This window comes from Homo sapiens, chromosome 15 (genome assembly GCF_000001405.40).
Source record: "Homo sapiens chromosome 15, GRCh38.p14 Primary Assembly".
In the NCBI taxonomy this organism is placed as follows: Eukaryota; Metazoa; Chordata; class Mammalia; order Primates; family Hominidae; genus Homo; species Homo sapiens.
Window position 1 is genome coordinate 32,355,986 of NC_000015.10, and position 17,837 is coordinate 32,373,822.

General features: G+C 53.4%; 2 long non-coding RNA genes across 3 annotated transcripts; one reads left to right on the forward strand and one right to left on the reverse strand.

Moving 5' to 3' along the window:
- Positions 1-365: 365 nt before the first annotated feature.
- On the reverse strand, positions 366-2,646 carry LOC105376709 (uncharacterized). 2 transcript variants are annotated; one of them, XR_007064572.1, is made up of 4 exons: positions 2,567-2,646; positions 2,213-2,290; positions 1,631-2,093; positions 366-402 (listed from the first exon to the last, which is right to left on the reverse strand). It is a non-coding gene; the product is annotated as an uncharacterized LOC105376709 (long non-coding RNA). The 2 variants fall into 2 exon arrangements; XR_932069.4 differs by having other exon boundaries at positions 386-2,093.
- A 91-nt stretch (positions 2,647-2,737) lies between these two features.
- Positions 2,738-12,383, forward strand: LOC112268159 (uncharacterized). The gene is made up of 3 exons (XR_002957746.2): positions 2,738-3,673; positions 11,590-11,653; positions 11,734-12,383. It is a non-coding gene; the product is annotated as an uncharacterized LOC112268159 (long non-coding RNA).
- Positions 12,384-17,837: the final 5,454 nt, after the last annotated feature.

Below are 17,837 nucleotides of genomic sequence, written 5' to 3' on the forward strand. Positions count from 1 at the left end.
TTGATGGACATTTGGTTGATTCCACTTTTCAGCTACTCTGAATAATGCCGCTATCAACATTTGTGGAAGGGTTTTCGTAAGGATACGTGTTTTCATTTCTCTTGGGTATATGCCTAGGATTGTCAAATGGTATACTTTTTTTTTTTTTTTTTTTGAGATGGAGTTTCACTCTTGTTGCCCAGGCTGGAGTGCAATGGCACAATCTCGGCTCACTGCAACCTCTGCCTCCTGGGTTCAAGTGATTCTCCTGCCTCAGCCTCCCAAGTAGCTGGGGTTACAGGCATGCACCACCACACCCAGCTAATTTTGTATTTTTAGTAGAGACGGGGTTTCTCCGTGTTGGTCAGTCTGGTCTCGAACTCCTGACATCAGGTGATCCATCCGCCTGGGCCTCCCAAAGTGCTGGAATTACAGGTGTGACCCACCACACTCAGCCAGTATACTTATTTTTAAATGGTATATTTATATTACTAGGCTCTGTTCTAAGTATTTCATATGGATAGTCTCCTTTAATTATCATAATACTCTACAAGGTAGGTACTATTATGAATCCACTTCTTATAAAGTGAAGAAATGGAGGCATCATTTGAGGGACATCAAGGGATTTGTCCAAGGAGACTCAGCTAAGAGAGCCAGGATTTGGACCCTGGCCTCTGGCCCTTCGCTCTTCCAGCAACTTGCTCCTACATGTGAGATTTAAGTGAGAGAACGTCTGAAAGTGCTCCCAGCCTGACTGTAGTAGGTGCCCAAGAAACGTTCGTTGGATGCTGGGAAAGGACCAGACACCTTGCATTTCGCTGTCTGACTCACCATGTGGCTTTAGGGAATTTGTGTCCGTTTGAGCCTCAGTTAAATTTCCCCAATACATAAAGCTTCAATATGGCATTTCATAAAGACAGGACTGAGATGGGAGGTGCAATATCATGGAAAGAGCCCTGGATTCTAGATCTGGCTCTCTCACTGGCTTGGAAGGGGTAGTAATTTCCTTTCTCTGTCTCTGGGTTTCCCCACCATTCAATTAGAGGCTGGAACAATTGATCCTAAGTTTCCTTCCAGCTCCCCCATCCTATATAAGTTCTATATTCTTCCTCAGCAACTGGAGTCCCCTGTGGAGCTAAACTGGGATGGGTGCCCAGGGCCTCAGGTCACTGCTGTGCTCAGCAACACTTCTCCCACCCAGTGTGTTAAAGGCCAGGTAGGGGCTGAGTGGGATGAAGATGGGGAGGGGGAGGACCCACCCTAGGCCTCCCTTCCATTATGGAGCCCTTGGTGTGGGCTGGGGACCTTCTCTTCTCTCAGCCAGAAAAGAGCCACCTCACCTACACATCCCCTCAGTCTTCCCTGGCTCCCCTTCTCTTGAGTCCTGCTCCTCTGGAGTCCTGCTCCCTCTGGAGTCACTGCAGCCCTCATTCCAATGAACTACCCAGCCACTTTTGGAGGCTTGGACTAGCTCCTGGTTTGGGATCACTTATGGGAAAGCGCTGGGCACCCACTGGGTGCCCAGCATATTTTGGTGACTTAAATAGGGATCAGTATTTGAGCTAGTGGCTTCCCCTAGGTCATGATTCCCCAGTTCACTTATCCCCATCCTTTGTCAGCAAGAGCATTCACTGCATTCTGCAAACCTAACCTGGCAGCACCAAGCGAGGCGCTTCTGCATCTTCCAACTGCACAGCCACAGCCTGTAAACTTTTCCTTGGCCCTCCCTTTAGTCCATATTCCTTACTTTCTGGATGCCACCGGTCAGAGTGCCTCCTGCATCCCAGGTCCTGTGCCAAACACATAACGTACAGGATGCTGCATTTACCCCTCTGTGGTGGGAATTTGTAGTGTCTCTAGTTTATAGAAGAGGAAGCACATCCAGAACAGGGAAATAACTTCTCCAAGGCCACCAAGCTGGTAGATAACTGTGGAAGGATTTGAGCAAAGGCTGTCTGGTCCCAAATCCTGCATCACTCGACTGAAAGGAAAGATGGCATAAAGGGCTTTTAAGGGGGTGCCCAGAGCCAGGGAAATCAGGTGGAGCCTCTCTGGGCAGGTGGGCTCTGGATTCCTCCGGGGCAGGTCTGTGTCTCTGTGTCTTCTCTCTTCCCCTGCATGGAGAACAGTCGAGCCTGTTGGGTAATGCCTGGGAACACCCTCCTCTGGGCTTAGTCTTCTCATCGACAGAACAGGGTCTGACATTTCCAGCAGCCCTGTGCGCCAAGCTTACCCAGAGATCCGGTGATGGCTACACAGCCTTTCTTCCACTGGTTATAGAGTCACTTTCTCCCAGGTTTGCTGTTCTTCCCTGCAGTGTGATGAGCCGGCGTCTCATCCCCAGCTCCCCATCCCCCAATATCTGTGTGTCTCACTATTTTTAAGCTCCGTGGGCTTAATGAGCTGCCTGCCATGACACGTCTTCGACATTTACCTTTTTCTCTAATGAGCCTCAGAGAGCTAGCCTGGGCTTATTTTTCCCTTGACAGTCCCCCACCCCAGTCAGGAGGCCAGAACTGGGCTATTTCCCTTCGGGGCCCAGACTTGGCTTCCTGAGACCCCCACAGCAGTGTGCCCCACAAATTACCTAGTGGTGGCAACACTGCAGATTCCAGGCCCTGGGGAGCTGACTCCTTCTCTGGTACCACCTTCTGTCTTGTTTCTCCTCTCTTACCCCACCTCAGCCCCTTCCTGCAGAGTGGTGATGTCATAAAGGAAACTCTTGTGGTCCCCACATAATTGGCAGCTACTTCTCTCTGAGGACAAACTGCCTGGCAAACCAGCAGGGCCAGGCAAATGAGGCCAATTGGCAGCAAGGGCTGGGATGGAGATGTCAGAGATTTAGAGGCTCTCAGGGTTGGAAGGGGGACCTCAAATTTCATCTAGGTCAATGCTGTGTCCCCTTACCTGAGTCCTGTCTATAATATCCCTCCCAATAGTGGGCTAACCTCAGCTTGAATGCTCCCGATGATGGAGCACTCATTACCTCCTGGGACCACGAACTCATCAATGGGTGGTGCTGACTGTGCAAAAACCCTCCTTCATTTTGAGCCTAAATCTGTTTTCCAACATGAAGAGAGAAGACCCCCGCAGTGGGTTCATCCTTCTTCTGGCTCCAGCCCTCAGTGCTGCGAAGGAGCCGCAAGTCACTCTTCATGAGGAAACATGCCCGGTGTCTTGGGTGGGGGCAGAGGCACCACTGATCCACAAAGATGTGGTGTGATTTTTTCCTCTCAGGGGACTTTGCTTGGGGGAGGGGCCACTGGGAAGAGCCAAGAAGCTGCTAGAAAAAAACTGAAGTCGTTCCTCCTTCTCAAGTGCGAAGTGAACCTGCAGCAGAACATTAGAAACCCTGATGCAGGCTAGCTCCGTCTGTGGGGACCGTTACATGCTGGTTCTCTGTTGCCAGCTCCAGGGAGTCAGGGTCTAATAGGAGCCACCCCAGGTATTCCACTTATAGTTATAGCTCCAAGCAGGGGTCATCAGCAGGGTGACTGGAACTCCCTGCGGTTCCAGAGAGCCACAGATGCTCACCCATGCTGGCTTTGGTAGGCAGGGAGCTCAGTAAGCCTCTCCGAGGCTCAGGATTTTGCCAGTTTGGAAGAGCACTGGATGATTTGGAAGAGCACTGGATTCCAAGCTTGGAAGAGCACTTGGAAGAGCACTGGATTCCAAGCCAGCTTGGAAGAGCACAGTAAGGCAGGCTTCTTACTCTGTCACTTCGGACAAGTCCCTTCCTCTCTCTGGCTGTCAGTTTCCTCAGCTGTGATATGTGCTATGTGTGGACCTTCAGAAATGGTGCAGGGCTGGGCCCTGCAGCTGCCGAATGCCATGTGTGTGGGTGGAGGTGCTTCATCCTGGGCCGTGCTCTGCAGGACACAGTGTTTGTCACCAGTGGTCATATGAAGGGACAGTCCTCTGCCCACTTCCATTTCCCCTCTCCTCTGGCCCAGAGCAGGGAGGCCAGAGCCCTGTGTACTGCTAGGCAGGGCAACGGCCCATTCTCAAATGTTTGCTGGGGCCGGGGGTGTGGAAAGAGGCTCCTGTGAGGGAAAACCTTGAGGCCTCTGGTGTCCTGGACCAGGGAGGCTCTCCTGCCCTAAGTCAGGCTCTGTGGAGAGGGTCCCAGATGATGGCGTCTCTGGAGCCGGGGTGTGTTCTGCCGTGTCATCACCTTCCCAAGTCAGCTGTCATCGCTGCGCTTTCCAGGGTGGTGGCTGTGAGGGGTCCCATCATGGTCTGTGGTTGCCAGACACCCACCCAGGTGGACGTCTCTTGCCTGGAAACTGGCCAGCCTCTTCCAAGCCCACCCCATCTCCTCCTAAACCTTGGCTCCCTGCTGCTTTTCCAGGAAGCCTTTCCTCAGTGGCTCCCTGGTTCTAGGTGCCTTTGCCCTGTGGTTCTCAGCAGAAGCGCCTGTGCATCATGGGAAAGCCGGTTGGCGATGGGATGCACGGCGCTCTATTAGGGTCTATGCTCTCTCTACCCATGGTGTCCTCCAGCACCTGGTCAAGCCAGAGTGTGTGGGAGCCAGGGGTCCACCCCTAGCTCTTTCTGCTCTGCACATTCGTTTTTCTTTTTGATGAAGTTATAACTTAGATTCAGCAAAGTGCACAACTTATGGATATATGCACCAGTATAATCACCAAAGAAATTCCCCAGAAGGATCCCTGTCCCCTCCCAGCCCCTGCCTGCCCCTCCGGTGTAACCGCTCTATTGCCATGGAGTCATTTTCTGTTCTTCAGAGCTTTCCTCCGATTCCTGGTCATTCCTCAATCTCCCTGGCTTTCCTCTTTCTCTACAAATCCTCCAAATGCTGATATTTCTAGAAGCCCATCTCTGGATTTCTTCTTATGCCCACACTCTCCCCAGCGGATTATTCTTTTGTGCTAGTGACTTCCAGAGTCACTTCTGAGCAACACACCTGCCCCTCCCCTCCAAGCTGCCTGCTGGGTATGGCCGCTTGGCTGGTCTGCTGGCATGGCTAGGTCTCACCTAATGTCAAACTCCTGGGCTCCAGTGATTCTCCCACCTTAGCCTCCTGAGTAGCTGGGACGACAGGCATGCACTACCATGCCTGGCTAATTTTAAAATTTTTTGTAGAGATGGGGTTTCACTGTGCTGTCCAGGCTGGCCTCAACCTCCCAAAGTGCTGGGATTACAGGCATGAGCCACCACACTAGGGATAGGTTTTGCCTGGGACATCCTTGGGGAGTCTGGGCAACCTCACCTCTTCACATCCCAGTGTTGTCATCTATAGGATGGGAGTGGCAGCTAGAGGAAGAACAGCTAGACTCTGCTGACTTCTGAGAGGAGGATGTGGTCAGATACCCACAAATGAGAACTTGAAAATTAGAGCAACCAAAATAGAGACTCAGCAGCCACGGTTGGAGAAGCCATGGCTGCTGAGAGGCCTGAGTATTGGGGAAGGTGGGCTGGAGGACGGGGAAAGGCTTGGCAGGATCTGGACACAGGGGCAGGAAAGAAGCCAGGGATAGTGCAGTGGCTCAGAAGAGAGGACTTGGCCCAGAGGTGGGCATCAAGAAGGCCGTCTGGGCTGGAGCTAAAGGCATGGGTAGAAGGAGGACCATTGATTAAGAGAGGCCTGAATTATCCCAGGAAATTTTAAAAAGGGGTGGCTTAATCTGGCCCTTAATAGGGGGTTAGCAGAGAGGCTGCCCCACCTCTCCACTGGAGCCATCCCCGTGTGCTTCTGACAGGCCTGTGCCCAGCCTGGCTCAGGAACCAGCCATGGACATAATGCCATGCTTTACATACAGTGCTCCTAAGCCTCGCAGCACTGCGCAGCAGCTTCCATTATCATTCCCGTTATGCAGATGGAGTGCTGAGGCCAAGAGAGGTTAAGCAACCTGCTCAAGTTCCCATGGCTAAAAGTGACAGAGCTGAGACTCCAGTCCAGGTCAGTCTGTCCAGAGCCCAGGTGCTAATTCACCCCACTTGGCTGCACCTGGTGTTTCACTTGGCTCCTCTTCCTCAGCAGAGCTGTCTTCTAGGTTTGGATCCACATAGAATTCCAAGTTGAGGCTTTCCAATTTGGAATTCTCCCCCTCATTGCTCCCCTCCTCCAGCCCATGGGTGTTTTGAGGCCATGGTTCATCCCTCCTGGCCCCTACCTCCCATGTCTGTCCCGGCTCCCGGTCAGGCAGGAGAGAGCTGGCTTCTTTGGAGCACCTAATTGTGCCCCCGGGACTTTCATGCTCCACTTTAGTTTCTGGAGACCACGAGCTGTCATAGGTGTTGGTGATAATGGGCATCTCTGTCTGAAGAGTGATGGGTACATCTCTGTCCCTGGCGCCTGGCCAGCATCTGGAAGGACGGAGGCGCTCTTGGAAACGGGAGGACCAGACTGCACCTTCCTTGGCTGGCTCCCAGCTCCCACTGAGAGCAGGCTGGGCTCTCCAGACGTCTCATGACCTCTCCCAGGTCCCGGTGTGGCCCAAAGCGAGCTACTCTGCTGCCTGGGAGTACAGCTGTTTCCGTCCTCTGGGAAAGGGTGCTGTGAGCGAGCGACCTGTTTCTCTCCGCCTGAGGCCCAGTTTCCTCAATTACAAAATGGGAATCACAGTCCCCACCTCACAGGGCCCGGATGAAATGAAATACACCGCTGGAACGGAGTGGGCACAGTGGAGGTCTCCCTCCCTGCCCCCGGCACCCACCTCTGAGCCCGGTGCCTTTGTGGTCTTCCCGTTAGACCCACCTTCCCAGTGTGCTTCAGGAGCTCCCTGGGGTTGTTTGTTGGGAAGGAAAGAGCCCTGGGCTGAGTGCTAGGAAGTCAGGGTTCAAGTGCACCGGGAGGCCTTGGGCAAGCTGATCTCTGAGCCTTAGCTGTCTCCTCTGTCAAGGGGCAGAACCACATCTGCTGCACCTCCCAAAGGCCTGAGCTCTGTTGTCTCCCCGTGAGCTGCTTCAGGATGGGGTTGGGTTTTATTCTTCTTGTATTCCCAGCACTTAGCACGGAGCCTGACATAGGATTTGGAGAAAACGAAAGTGAAGATCAGAGGAAAGAGTGGATTTTTAAGCAATTAAACATGCTAAGGGGTTATTTTCAAGGTTGGGTAAGGCAGACAACTCCTGGCCAAACCCTCATTAACTGGGGAAGTGGTCTTCATGCCCTTCCTTCGCGCATGACTCTCCAGAGAACCTGAGCTGCACTGGACCTTCTTTCCCCATGGGGAGCCACAGGCCTGCCTACCTATAGTGGAGCACCGCAAGGCAGTGCGCCTGCCCGTCCACACCCCACCCATGACCACTCAGGCCCTGGGTGTCAGGGTCTGAACTAGACAGGGTGCCTCTTTCGGCTTTGGGGTTTCTCTTCTCTCCTTTAGCAGGGAGCTTGATGGGACAGAGGTTGCCAGAGTTGGGGGGGCAGTGCCTGCTGAGATCCCCCACCTCCTCCATTGCCTGCTACCAGGCTCAGCAATCAGGCTGCTCCTCTGGGAGCTGGCAGGAAATGCAGTCGTGAACAAGACACGTTCCCACCTCACAGCCTTAGTGATCCTCCAGGAGCTGAGCTGCTTATACAAGTACCTTTGACACCAGGAAGAAGTGACGCAGTCTCTGCAAGAGGAACACACAGAGCCAGGGAAGAGAATTCTGGGCCTCAGGCTCCCCAGCCGCACAACCTCTGCAGCAACCCTTGCCCTCCTGGACAGAGCCTGGGCTGGCTCAGAGTCCCTGACTTGGCGAGCACTGCACCCCTCGTTGTGGGTAACACAAGGTCCGTCCTTGAGTCCATGGTCAGCATGGACTCGGCCTAGCCCCGCTGAGAGGAGAACTGAGGAAAGGAAATGAGTATTTATTTAGGGACCACTTTGTGCCAGCACATGTGGCCTCTTCAATCCTCATAACATCCCTGTGAGACAGGCACCTGATCCTCGGTTTGTAGCTAAGAAATGATCCCAGGGAAATGAACTCATCTCCCAGGGCTGCAGAGCTGCTAAGTGTCAGGTTGGAAAGCAGCCCTGGCTGTTCTAAAGCCCAAGTTCTCTCATGACCCCACTACTCTTTGTGCCCGCTCGCCTTCAGAGGTAGAACTCTCCAAGCATCTCGGAAGGCTCGGTTCTAAAAGCTGAGAGGCTATCTAGGCCGCATGCGGTGGCTCAGGCCTGTAATCTCAGCCCTTTGGGAGGCTGAGGCAGGTGAATTGCTTGAGCCCAGGAGTTTGAGACCATCCTGGGCAACATAGCGAGACACCTTCTCTACAAAAAAGAGCCGGGCATGGTGGTGCGCCTGTAGTCCCAGCTACTCGTGGGGGTCGAGGCTGCAGTGAGCTGTGATTGCGCCACTGCTCTCCAGCCTGGGTGACAGAGTGAGACCCTGTCTCAAAAAAAAAAAAAAAAAAATGAAAGCTGAGAGGCTATCTTGGGAGATGCAAAGCCACTTTCCAAAGGATGGAAAGAAGTGGAGAGAAACCAGGTCTCCTGATGCCTCTTTCAGGTCCCAGACCTCTTGCCACCTTTGGAGACAGAGGGTCTGGCAAGAGTTGCCGCTGCAGAGGGAGGGTGGGGGCTGGTGACCCTGTGGTCTCTTCCAACCCCGAGGCTGTAAGGTGACCTGCACCGTAGTCCACCCCCTCCCATTACCCAAGTACAGGGCCTGTAGCTATCACCCCAGCTTCCGGGACAAGTCCTGTGGCCCCAGACCCCCAGCCCTCCCTTCCCTGGGGCTTCTCACATTTCTACATGTGGCAGTGTAATGCACCTGCACGCAATGTTTGTATGCATGTTCACAGTGCCGGTTCATGCATGTTTATACATTCATACATGGTGTTCATACACATGGCGCTCACGTGCACCCACATACACATACACAGCCTTTCTGGCATTCTCTGCCACGTCCCTGCACTGGCTGCTGTCACCCATTTCAGCTGGGCCTGAGAGATGGAGACAGGACCCCCACCCCGGTGCTGCCGGCTAGCAGATGCCACAGTGCTGATGTTCTGCTCCATTACTGGGTTGATGGAGCCTCCTTCTGCCTCCGGCCTCCCACCGGTTGCCCACCTCCTCCTTTCCAGGGTGTGAGCGTTGACTGGGGGCCTGGGAGGCAGTGAGCCTGGCGGGGGTGCGGCTGTGTGCGGAGGGCATGGGCCTGGCTTGGGTGGAGATGGGGCTGGAGGCAGGCGGCAGGCTCCTGGACGGACAGCAGGGGGCACCACTAGGTCTCCTGGCCGGGCCACAGGAAGGGAGGAGCCGGGCCTCCAGGCTGGGGAGGAGGCTGCGGTCTCTCCAGCTACTCTCCCGCAGCTTGAGCGGGGGCACCTGCCACCCAGCCCGGGCTCCTGCCCCTGCTCCCTTCCCCCTCCCCGCACACTGGCAACACCCCCTCCCCTTACACCCCCAGTCCACGCCACACACACACCCTACTACACACCACACACACCACACAGACACACACCACACACATACCACACACATACACACCCTACTACACACTACATGCACCACACAACACACACCACACACACACCACACACACCCTACTACACACTGCACACATACCTCACTACACACAACACACAACACATACACTTATTACACACACCACAGATGCACTGACACACACATCCCACACAAACTCACTATACCCCCATACCACACATATGTACACACCACACATATGCCACTACCCACCACTACCCACATACCCCCTGACACCCCACTAGAGCCTCCACCCCTAACCCACACCACCCCCTACATCACACACACACACCATATACACACACCCCACTGTCCCCCACACCCTAGAGCCCACATTACACACTACACATACAGCACACACATCCTACACACACACACCACCACGTATACCCCTACCCACCACACACGTACACACACCACATATGCACACTCACATCACACACACACCACCACACTCACGCACTCCTATTAAAAGGCTTTTGCTTTCGTGCCAAACCTCTAAACCCATCCCTTAGAGGGGCGGTGATCGGCAGAGATAGTATGTTCAAACCTTGTAACATTTAGTCAGAAAGAAAATGCATCAATTTGTAATGGTTTGTAGCTGAAATTGAAGATGTGCATCTGGCATGAAAGATATCGGGACTGTGCTGGAAGGTGCTGTGTGCCTCACATGAGGCAGAGCTGCTCACACTGTGGCTGGAGGATCCATTGATTGTGTGGGTTAATCACTGCTAAGCCACAGAGAGCTCCCCTTTCCCCTGGTGAGCGCTTCCCCAGCTGACAGTTGCCCACGCGCTCTGCAGAAAGCAGTGCCTCTCTTGGGAGCACGACCAGGGCAGACCCCCACGGTCCTACCCGTCCTCCCTCACACTCAGAGCATGCGCACAACAGACCTCCTGGGGCCCACGGGTGCACCCCCACACACACACACTTTCCGTATCCTACACCAGGCAGCCCAGGGCCCACTGGTCCCCAAGCCTCCATCTGTCCCCACTCAATCACTCATTCGGGGTCCCCCACCCTTCCTGGCGTGCTCCCAAGCATCTTGACACTCAACCAATGGAAGACCCTCTCCTCCGCCCCAGGACAGCTGCCTGTGGGTTTGGGAGATGTTGTGGGGTGCTGGGGAGTGGGGAACCCTGGAGGCCCAAGATGCTGAGTCTCTGGAGAAGGAGGTGGGAAGGCAGCCTGTCTGGGGGCCAGAGGCAGCCCCCTGGGCTGAGAGCAGCTGGGGGCCCCAGCAGGCAGCTCAGGGCTGGCCAGGCAGCTGGACTGTGACTCAGCAGCTTCTCCGCCTTGGCTAGAGTGCGCCGTGCTGCAGTATTAACTCCCTCTCCAGGGAGCCTGGACTCCAGCTTCTCTCCCACGGGGATGGCGGGCTCCTCTGTGCTGTTTCAAGTTGATCCTGGCTGGGGTGGCAGAGCGGAGGGTGTGCTGAGGGGCCTGCCTGGCCAGGGCATCCCTCTGCCCCCTCACCACCGCTACCCCTACACCCTACAAGAGTTAGCCAAGGATCAAATGGAGCCAGGGCTTGGTGGGGTGGCCTGAGGAGCTACAAAGGCCTGGAATCCAGGAATTGACAACTCAGGCAGTTCTGCCACCATTTAGTGGTGTTGTTTGTGTGATGGAGGTAAGCCACCTCCCTTTGGGGCCTCGATTTCTTTGTTTTCGAAAAGAGGCTGTGGACTGCATTGTCTGTAAGAGTCCTTCAGCCCTCACAGGCTGGGTTTTATTAATATTTGTCTGTGATTTAAGGGTATCCATGCCTGGGGTCTAGGTTCAGAGAGAAATAATCCGAGGCAGGCGTGAGGTGCTGCAGATTTGCAGAGCCTTACTCAGGAAACTTCACCTTTGATCATGGAAGCAGTCCTTAAGGCAGGGAGGGCAGGGATGCTTAACCCTCACACACAGCTGCACAAGCGCAGGGAGGCTAACAGGCCAGCCCAAGATTGATGCAGGAAGGGCTCAATCCTCAGCCATTGGATTCTGAGGTGCCCATCAGGTGGCCTGGGATTGCTGATCTCAGCATAGATGCAAGAGAAGGAAAATGAGTGTTGCCGCAGCAGGAGAGATTGAAGTTAGACACTAGAAGGACGTTCCAACTCTCAGGAACCTGGGAGTTGTTAGCTTCCCCAGGGCCAGTCAAGAACAGACTCTGCTTCTATGTGTGCAGAATGACAACCTTGCTCCAAAGTGGAGGTGTGCGTGGACTGACCAAGAAGGCTCATCAGACCTCGGTACACAAGGAACTCAAAGAAATGGGTAATTTATTTTCAGAATGAGCTAGAAAATTAATTCATTAACACTTTATCCTCAGCCTCCCAGGACCAAATGTTGGACTGAAGCACTGGTGCAAAACATAAAGACAAACATTTCTCCTTAAGTATTGATCTTTTTAGCCTACGAGCTTCGGCGACAGGTGTCTTGCTGGTTAACCTATTTCCATCTCATTACTTTGGCTTCTGCAAATACAATGCCGGGAAAGATTAAATACTGTAAGCTGTATCCAGTCAGCTCTCCATTATCTGCATTAATCGAGGCCAGTACTGAGTGGGATAATCCACAGAAGTGCCTAGTCCCCAGATCATATTTAATTGATTTGGGGTGGCAGTTGATGGTGAGTGTGTGTACATGTGTGCACACACACACACATATGCTTTTGGTGAGGGTGAGGATCGAACTTACTCATCTTTGATGTGGCATCAGGATCCCATTTTGGAGGCAGTCTCATTTGGGGGCACACCAAGGGAATCCCAGAAGCCTGCTAGAGGAGACAACAGGGCTTCTAGTCTCCCGACTTTTTGTAGGGAAGAAGAGGCAAAGTGAGAGTCCAGGTGTCCTCTGAGGGTGAGGGGGGCAGGTCCTGGTGGCATTCTCCCTGCAGCATGCCTCCCACCTGGAGCAGGTCAGGCGATTTCCGGGTGAGCTACACAAACCCACTCATTTGTTCTCTCTTTTGGCCGGGCGCAGTGGCTCATGCCTATAATCCCAGCACTTTGGGAGGTCAAGGCGGCAAGATCGCATGAGGCCAGGAGTTCAAGACCAGCCTGAGCAACATAGTGGTACCCTGTCTCTACAAAAAATTTTAAAACTAGCCAGGCATGGTGATGCATGTGTGTGGTCCTAGCTCCTTGGGAGGCTGAGGTGGGAGGATTGCTTGGGCCCAGGAGTTTGAAGGCTGCAGTGAGCTATGATCACGCCTCTGTATTCCAGCCTGAGCAAGGGAGTGAGACGCTGTCTGTAAAAAATAAAATAAAATTAAATAAATTTAAAAACACACAAACCCCCCTCATTTGTTTTCTCCTTCTCAAGGCTGAGGATCCAGCTCCAGGGTTCTGAAGTACCAGAGGGTGGAAGAGACAGGCAGATTTTCATGGGCTTCAAAATTTTAAAGATACAGAAAGATACCCAGTGAAATATTTTCCAGCTCCTGCTTTCCCAACTCTGCTCCCCAGAAGCAACTACAGCTAATGTCATCGATTCCTTATGCACTTTTCCAGAGCCGTGCTGTGAATATAGAAGCATACAAGCATACATATGCTTCTCCCCCACCCTTTTACACAGGTATCATGCTCACTCCCCTGCACACTGATTCTTCCACTATCTCCCTTGGAGATCATTCCCTGTTCACCCACACAGAGCAAAGCTCCAGGGCATCTGGGTCTTCTGTGATTCTCCCATGTGGGCTGACCATGGGCAGAGTAAAGACCCTCAAAGCAGAACATCCCAGAACTACTGAGAGTGTGAGGGTGAGTGTGTGAGGTCGTCTCACCCCACCTTCCTCCTCCAGCCTAGCTCCCCTTCCCTCCTACTCAACTTGATTGTCAATCAAGTCTCTCTTTAGTTTAGGTACAAGAACTGTGGCTGAGCTCTGAGCACATCTGGGCATTTGGAGTTAAGGAAAGAGAGAGCCTCTAGACATGCTGTTTCTGCTTGTTATAAGAGGGCTCATAATAGGGGGAGAGATGGTGGCCCCTTCCCCCTGCACTCCCCATCCTGGTGTATCCCTAGGCTCTCTGTTGAGAGCATTCTTTTTGATACTCACCTGAAGTCCTGCTTTCTGCCCTGACAGCTCTCTACATGATAGAAAGAAAAGGATAAGATAAAGGATAAGCCAACCAGGTTGTCACCTGCTCCCCAACTCCTCACCCAACCCAGGCCAAATGTGGCTGTTCTCCCCAGCAAAGGGGGCCAGAGGCAGTTAACTAGCACTCCGAGACCCAGGCATGTTCTAGGGTCTGTGCTGGGATATGCATGCCAAGCATGGTTCCTCCTGGACCCATTGCTCCCAGCCTTGGGGCCACTTGCAGAGGCCTGAGTGCTTGGGACTGACACTGTCACAGGGGCCAAGTGGCCATCCTGGGCAGACAGAAGGACAGTGGCCAGTGGACCAGGGAGAGAAGGGAATTCCTGCGTGGATTCTGTTTAGTGACCTTGCTTCTGGTCCACCCCTGCTTCTCCAGCATCATTTCCCACTATTGGAGACTCCCCCTTCCTGAGCTTTCCCTGAGGACTGGGCCCCCTACCTTGCTCCTGAGCAGGAGACCTGGCCTCAGTCAAATTTAGACCCGGTTCTTTATTCTGATCAACTGTGTGACCTTGGGCAGGTCACTTACGACCTGTCTGAGCAGAATTTGCCTTGTCTTTGAAATGATGCTGGTAATTGTGCCCTCCTCCCAGGTGGGTTAGATGAGAACATCTGTGTGCTCACCAAACAGAGTTATGGTGATTGAACCTGTTGTTGCCACCAATGTCCTCCTGCCTGCCCTGCCTTGATGCCCTCCAGGTCCGCAGTGCCTCTGAGGCTTATTTTACTTCCAGCAACTGGGCTTGGACTTTGACCTCTCTGGCAAGAATTTCTGAATTACTTAGAACCTCATTTTTTCAAAGTGTGGTGCCCAGATCACCTGCATGAGAGGAAATGGGGGTGCTTGTTACCATGCAGATCCCTGGGCACATTCCAGTCCACTGAGTTTTCTGAGTTAGGCTCTGGGAGACAGGTGCGATGGCAGAGGGTCTACATTTTAACAAACTCCCCAGGGGGGCTTGATGCAGGCCAAGCCTGAGAGACCCTTCCTCAGTCCCTTCCCTTGTGTGTCTTCTCCCTTGTTGGGGCCTCCCAGGCCCCTTCCTCTTCAGACCTTGACCTGTGGCCCAGCAGGCTGGGAGCAGGCATCTCTCCACACCCCCAGCCTCCCTCCCCGGACAGCTGCAGCCTTCACCTAATGGTGCCATTTCATGCTTTCCTGCTCGGGTGATTCTGACCAGACAGAGGAGTTCACTCTGTCCTGGGAGCCCTGGCACCCAGATCCATTTATCGTCCTTGAGTCTTCCAGCTGGCTGCTCTCCCAGGGACTGCAGCTCCCAGCCATGCGGGAGGCGAGGCAGCTGTGAGTTCCCGATAATTTGGCTCTCCCTCACACCGTTCTCACCGCCATTCCTCCACAGCCATGGGAGCCCTGCCTCCTAGAGTGGGGGAAATAGTCCTGGAGGCGGAGGAGGCTGCTGGGCTGTGGAAGGAAGCACTGGACTGGGGGTCCAGGGATTTAGATTCTTCCTCCACCAAATGCCTGTGCGACCCTGGACAACTGGCTTCACTTCTCCGGGCCTCCAGGAGTCTTGGGGGTGGCATGTGGGGTATGAAAGGGCTCCTGCTGTTTTCCTTCTTTCTACATTTTTTTTTCTCTGACTCTAGAAGGGACAGCAGAGCCAGGTGATAGGGGGTCACATCAGAAGGAGAGACAGCCGAGGGAATCTTGGTCTCTCAGCTACTGGCATGTCTCCCAGGGAAAATGGAAATGCAACCCAAGGGCAGCCTGGGAAAAATAAGCAGTGGTTCTCTACATGCTGGGTAGACGTGGGCTGTGGGAAGGACATGTGGTCTCCACCCATGCAACGTCTCATTTAATCCCAGCCTCAACTCGAGGGTTTAGGAATAAAAGCTGCATTCCAATAGTTTAGAAGTCTGACACTCAGAGAGGTGAAAGAAACCACATGAGGTGAAATGGTTCATAAGGGGGTATGTCTGACTCTCTATAGTCCTAGGCCTGCTGCAAGAGGAGAGGAAGGGTGGGCAGTTCCCAAAGCTGTGCGCAATTCCCCTACCTCCCATGCCAGCTTTGGGGTCTCACTGTACACACACACACACACACACACACACACACACTCTCACACCAGGCCTTGGTTCCTTCCCAATCTATGCTTGAGTGGGTGCCCCTGGATACAGCCTGATGACGACTGAGTCTTAACATGGTTTGTGGAAAGAGCCCCGGGCCCAGAGCCAGCCTGTACTGCACGGGGGAACCCTAGGAAGGCCACTTCCCCACAGAATTCAGTGTCTTCTGTGAAATGACATAATGTGACCCAATCTCAAGTCTTTCCTGCTTGATCATTTACAGACCCACATATTTATTGAATGTGGGCAGATTACCTGAGGTCAGGAGTTCGAGACCAGCCTGGCCAACATGGTGAAACCCCTTCTGTACAAAACTACAGCAAATTAGCTGGGCGTGGTGGTGGGCAACTGTAATCCCAGCTACTTGGGAGACCGAGGCAGGAGAATCGCTTGAACCCGGGAGACAGAGGTTGCAGTGAGCCAAGATCATGCCACTGTACTCCAGCCTGGCAGACAGCGAGACTCCGTCTCAACAACAACAACAACAAATGTGTAAACAAGTGAGCGTCCCAACAAAATTTTACTTACAAAAATTAGGTGGGGGACTGGATTTAGCCCCTGGACTGCTGTTGGCCAACACCTGCACTAGAGCAGCAGCAGTGAGCAAGACAAATGAGGTGGCTGCTTATACAGTCACAAGCTGCATGAGTACCATGGGGATGAGAATGGAGAGCCGGGAAAGTAGGTGGTTGGGGCCTTGATGCGGGGTAGGGGAGGAGGGAGCCATGGGTGTGTGGAGGAAGGCGCACTTGGAAGTGCTGTTTGAGCTGAGAAAGATGTGTAGACTGTATTAGTCTGATCTTGCACTGCTATAAAGAAACACCTAAGACTGGGTAATTTATGAAGAAAGGAGGTTTGGTTGGTTCGAAGTTCCACAGGCTGTACAGGAAGCATGATGCTGGCATCTGCTCGGCTTCTGGAGAGGCCTCAGGAAACTTACAATCATGGCGGAAGGTGAAGAGGGAGCCAGCACTTCACATGGCCAGAGCAGGAGGAAGAGGCAGGGGAGTGGGGGTTGGAGGGTGCTACACACTTTTAAATGACCAGTCTCATGAGAACTCACTATCACTAGATCTGACCCTGTGATCCAATCACCTCCCACGAGGCCTCACCTCCAACATCAGGGATTACCATTTGACACGAGATTTGGGCAGGGACACAGATGCAAACTGTATCATAGGCTTTAGCTCCATGAAGGGGGCACAGCATGTGCAAAGGCCCCGAGGAGGGTAATACAGTGTATTAGGGGAAACAAAAGAAGGAGTATGGGCTGGTGTTAGCAACCCAGGGAGGGAAAGCCGAGGTGCTGCTGGATGGAGAGCATGAGGGGCTGTAGGCGACGCTAGGGCTTTTGGCCTGTCTCCCTGGGATGGCTTTTCATTACGGCGGCATGACCGGCTTTGCATTTTATGAAGATTGCCTTGGTGGCAAATACGGAACTGACTGGAGGTGAGCAAGAGGAGACCCAGATCAGGCGGCTATGTCGGGGGCCAGTTGACCTGTGGGCCTGGAGCTCAGAAGTGGCTTGAATCTGACCGAAGAGGATGGCACTGATGCCAGGGTGTGGAAGGAACCACTCAGGGAGACACCATGGCTGAGAAGGGAAGGACCCCAAGGGCAAGCCTGAGGCAACCGAAGGAGGAGTAGTCACAGTTATGATGAAAGCAGGCAGCGGCCAGCTGGTGACCACAGCTCAGGGGTCCAGCTCAAGGAAAATGAAAATGTGGCCTGGGTTTAGTGACCTTGTGTTCATCATCCATGACTTTACAAAGAACTACTTCAGCAGAGGGATGGGGCAGAAGCCACAACGGAGGGGCTGATGAGTGAGGCGGACGTGATGAAATGGGGACCATGTGTTGCGTGTATGTGTGTGTGTGTGCACGTGTGTGTATGTGTGTGCATGTGTGTATGTGTGTGCGCAAGTGTGTGTGTGTGTGTGTGGTCACAAAGGGAAAGGGAGAACAAGGCAGCAGGTGGAGCTCATTTTTGGTGGGTGATGTGATAAACTGGACTGGTCCAGCCTCAGCCGAGGGAAGGGGGAAATGTTAGGCACAAGAAAGGGCAGGGATGGCAAAGACTTCCTGAGAAGTCAGGAGGGATCCTGTGCAGGAGCGGGAACTGGCTTAACCAGAGGAAAAGCCCTCAACTGAGAAGGGGTCAGGAGGAAAGGTCTGTGGTTTGACCCGAGGCTGGGACATTTTGAGAGATTTCTCACCTTTATTTTTCTTTAAAACAACAGGAAAGAG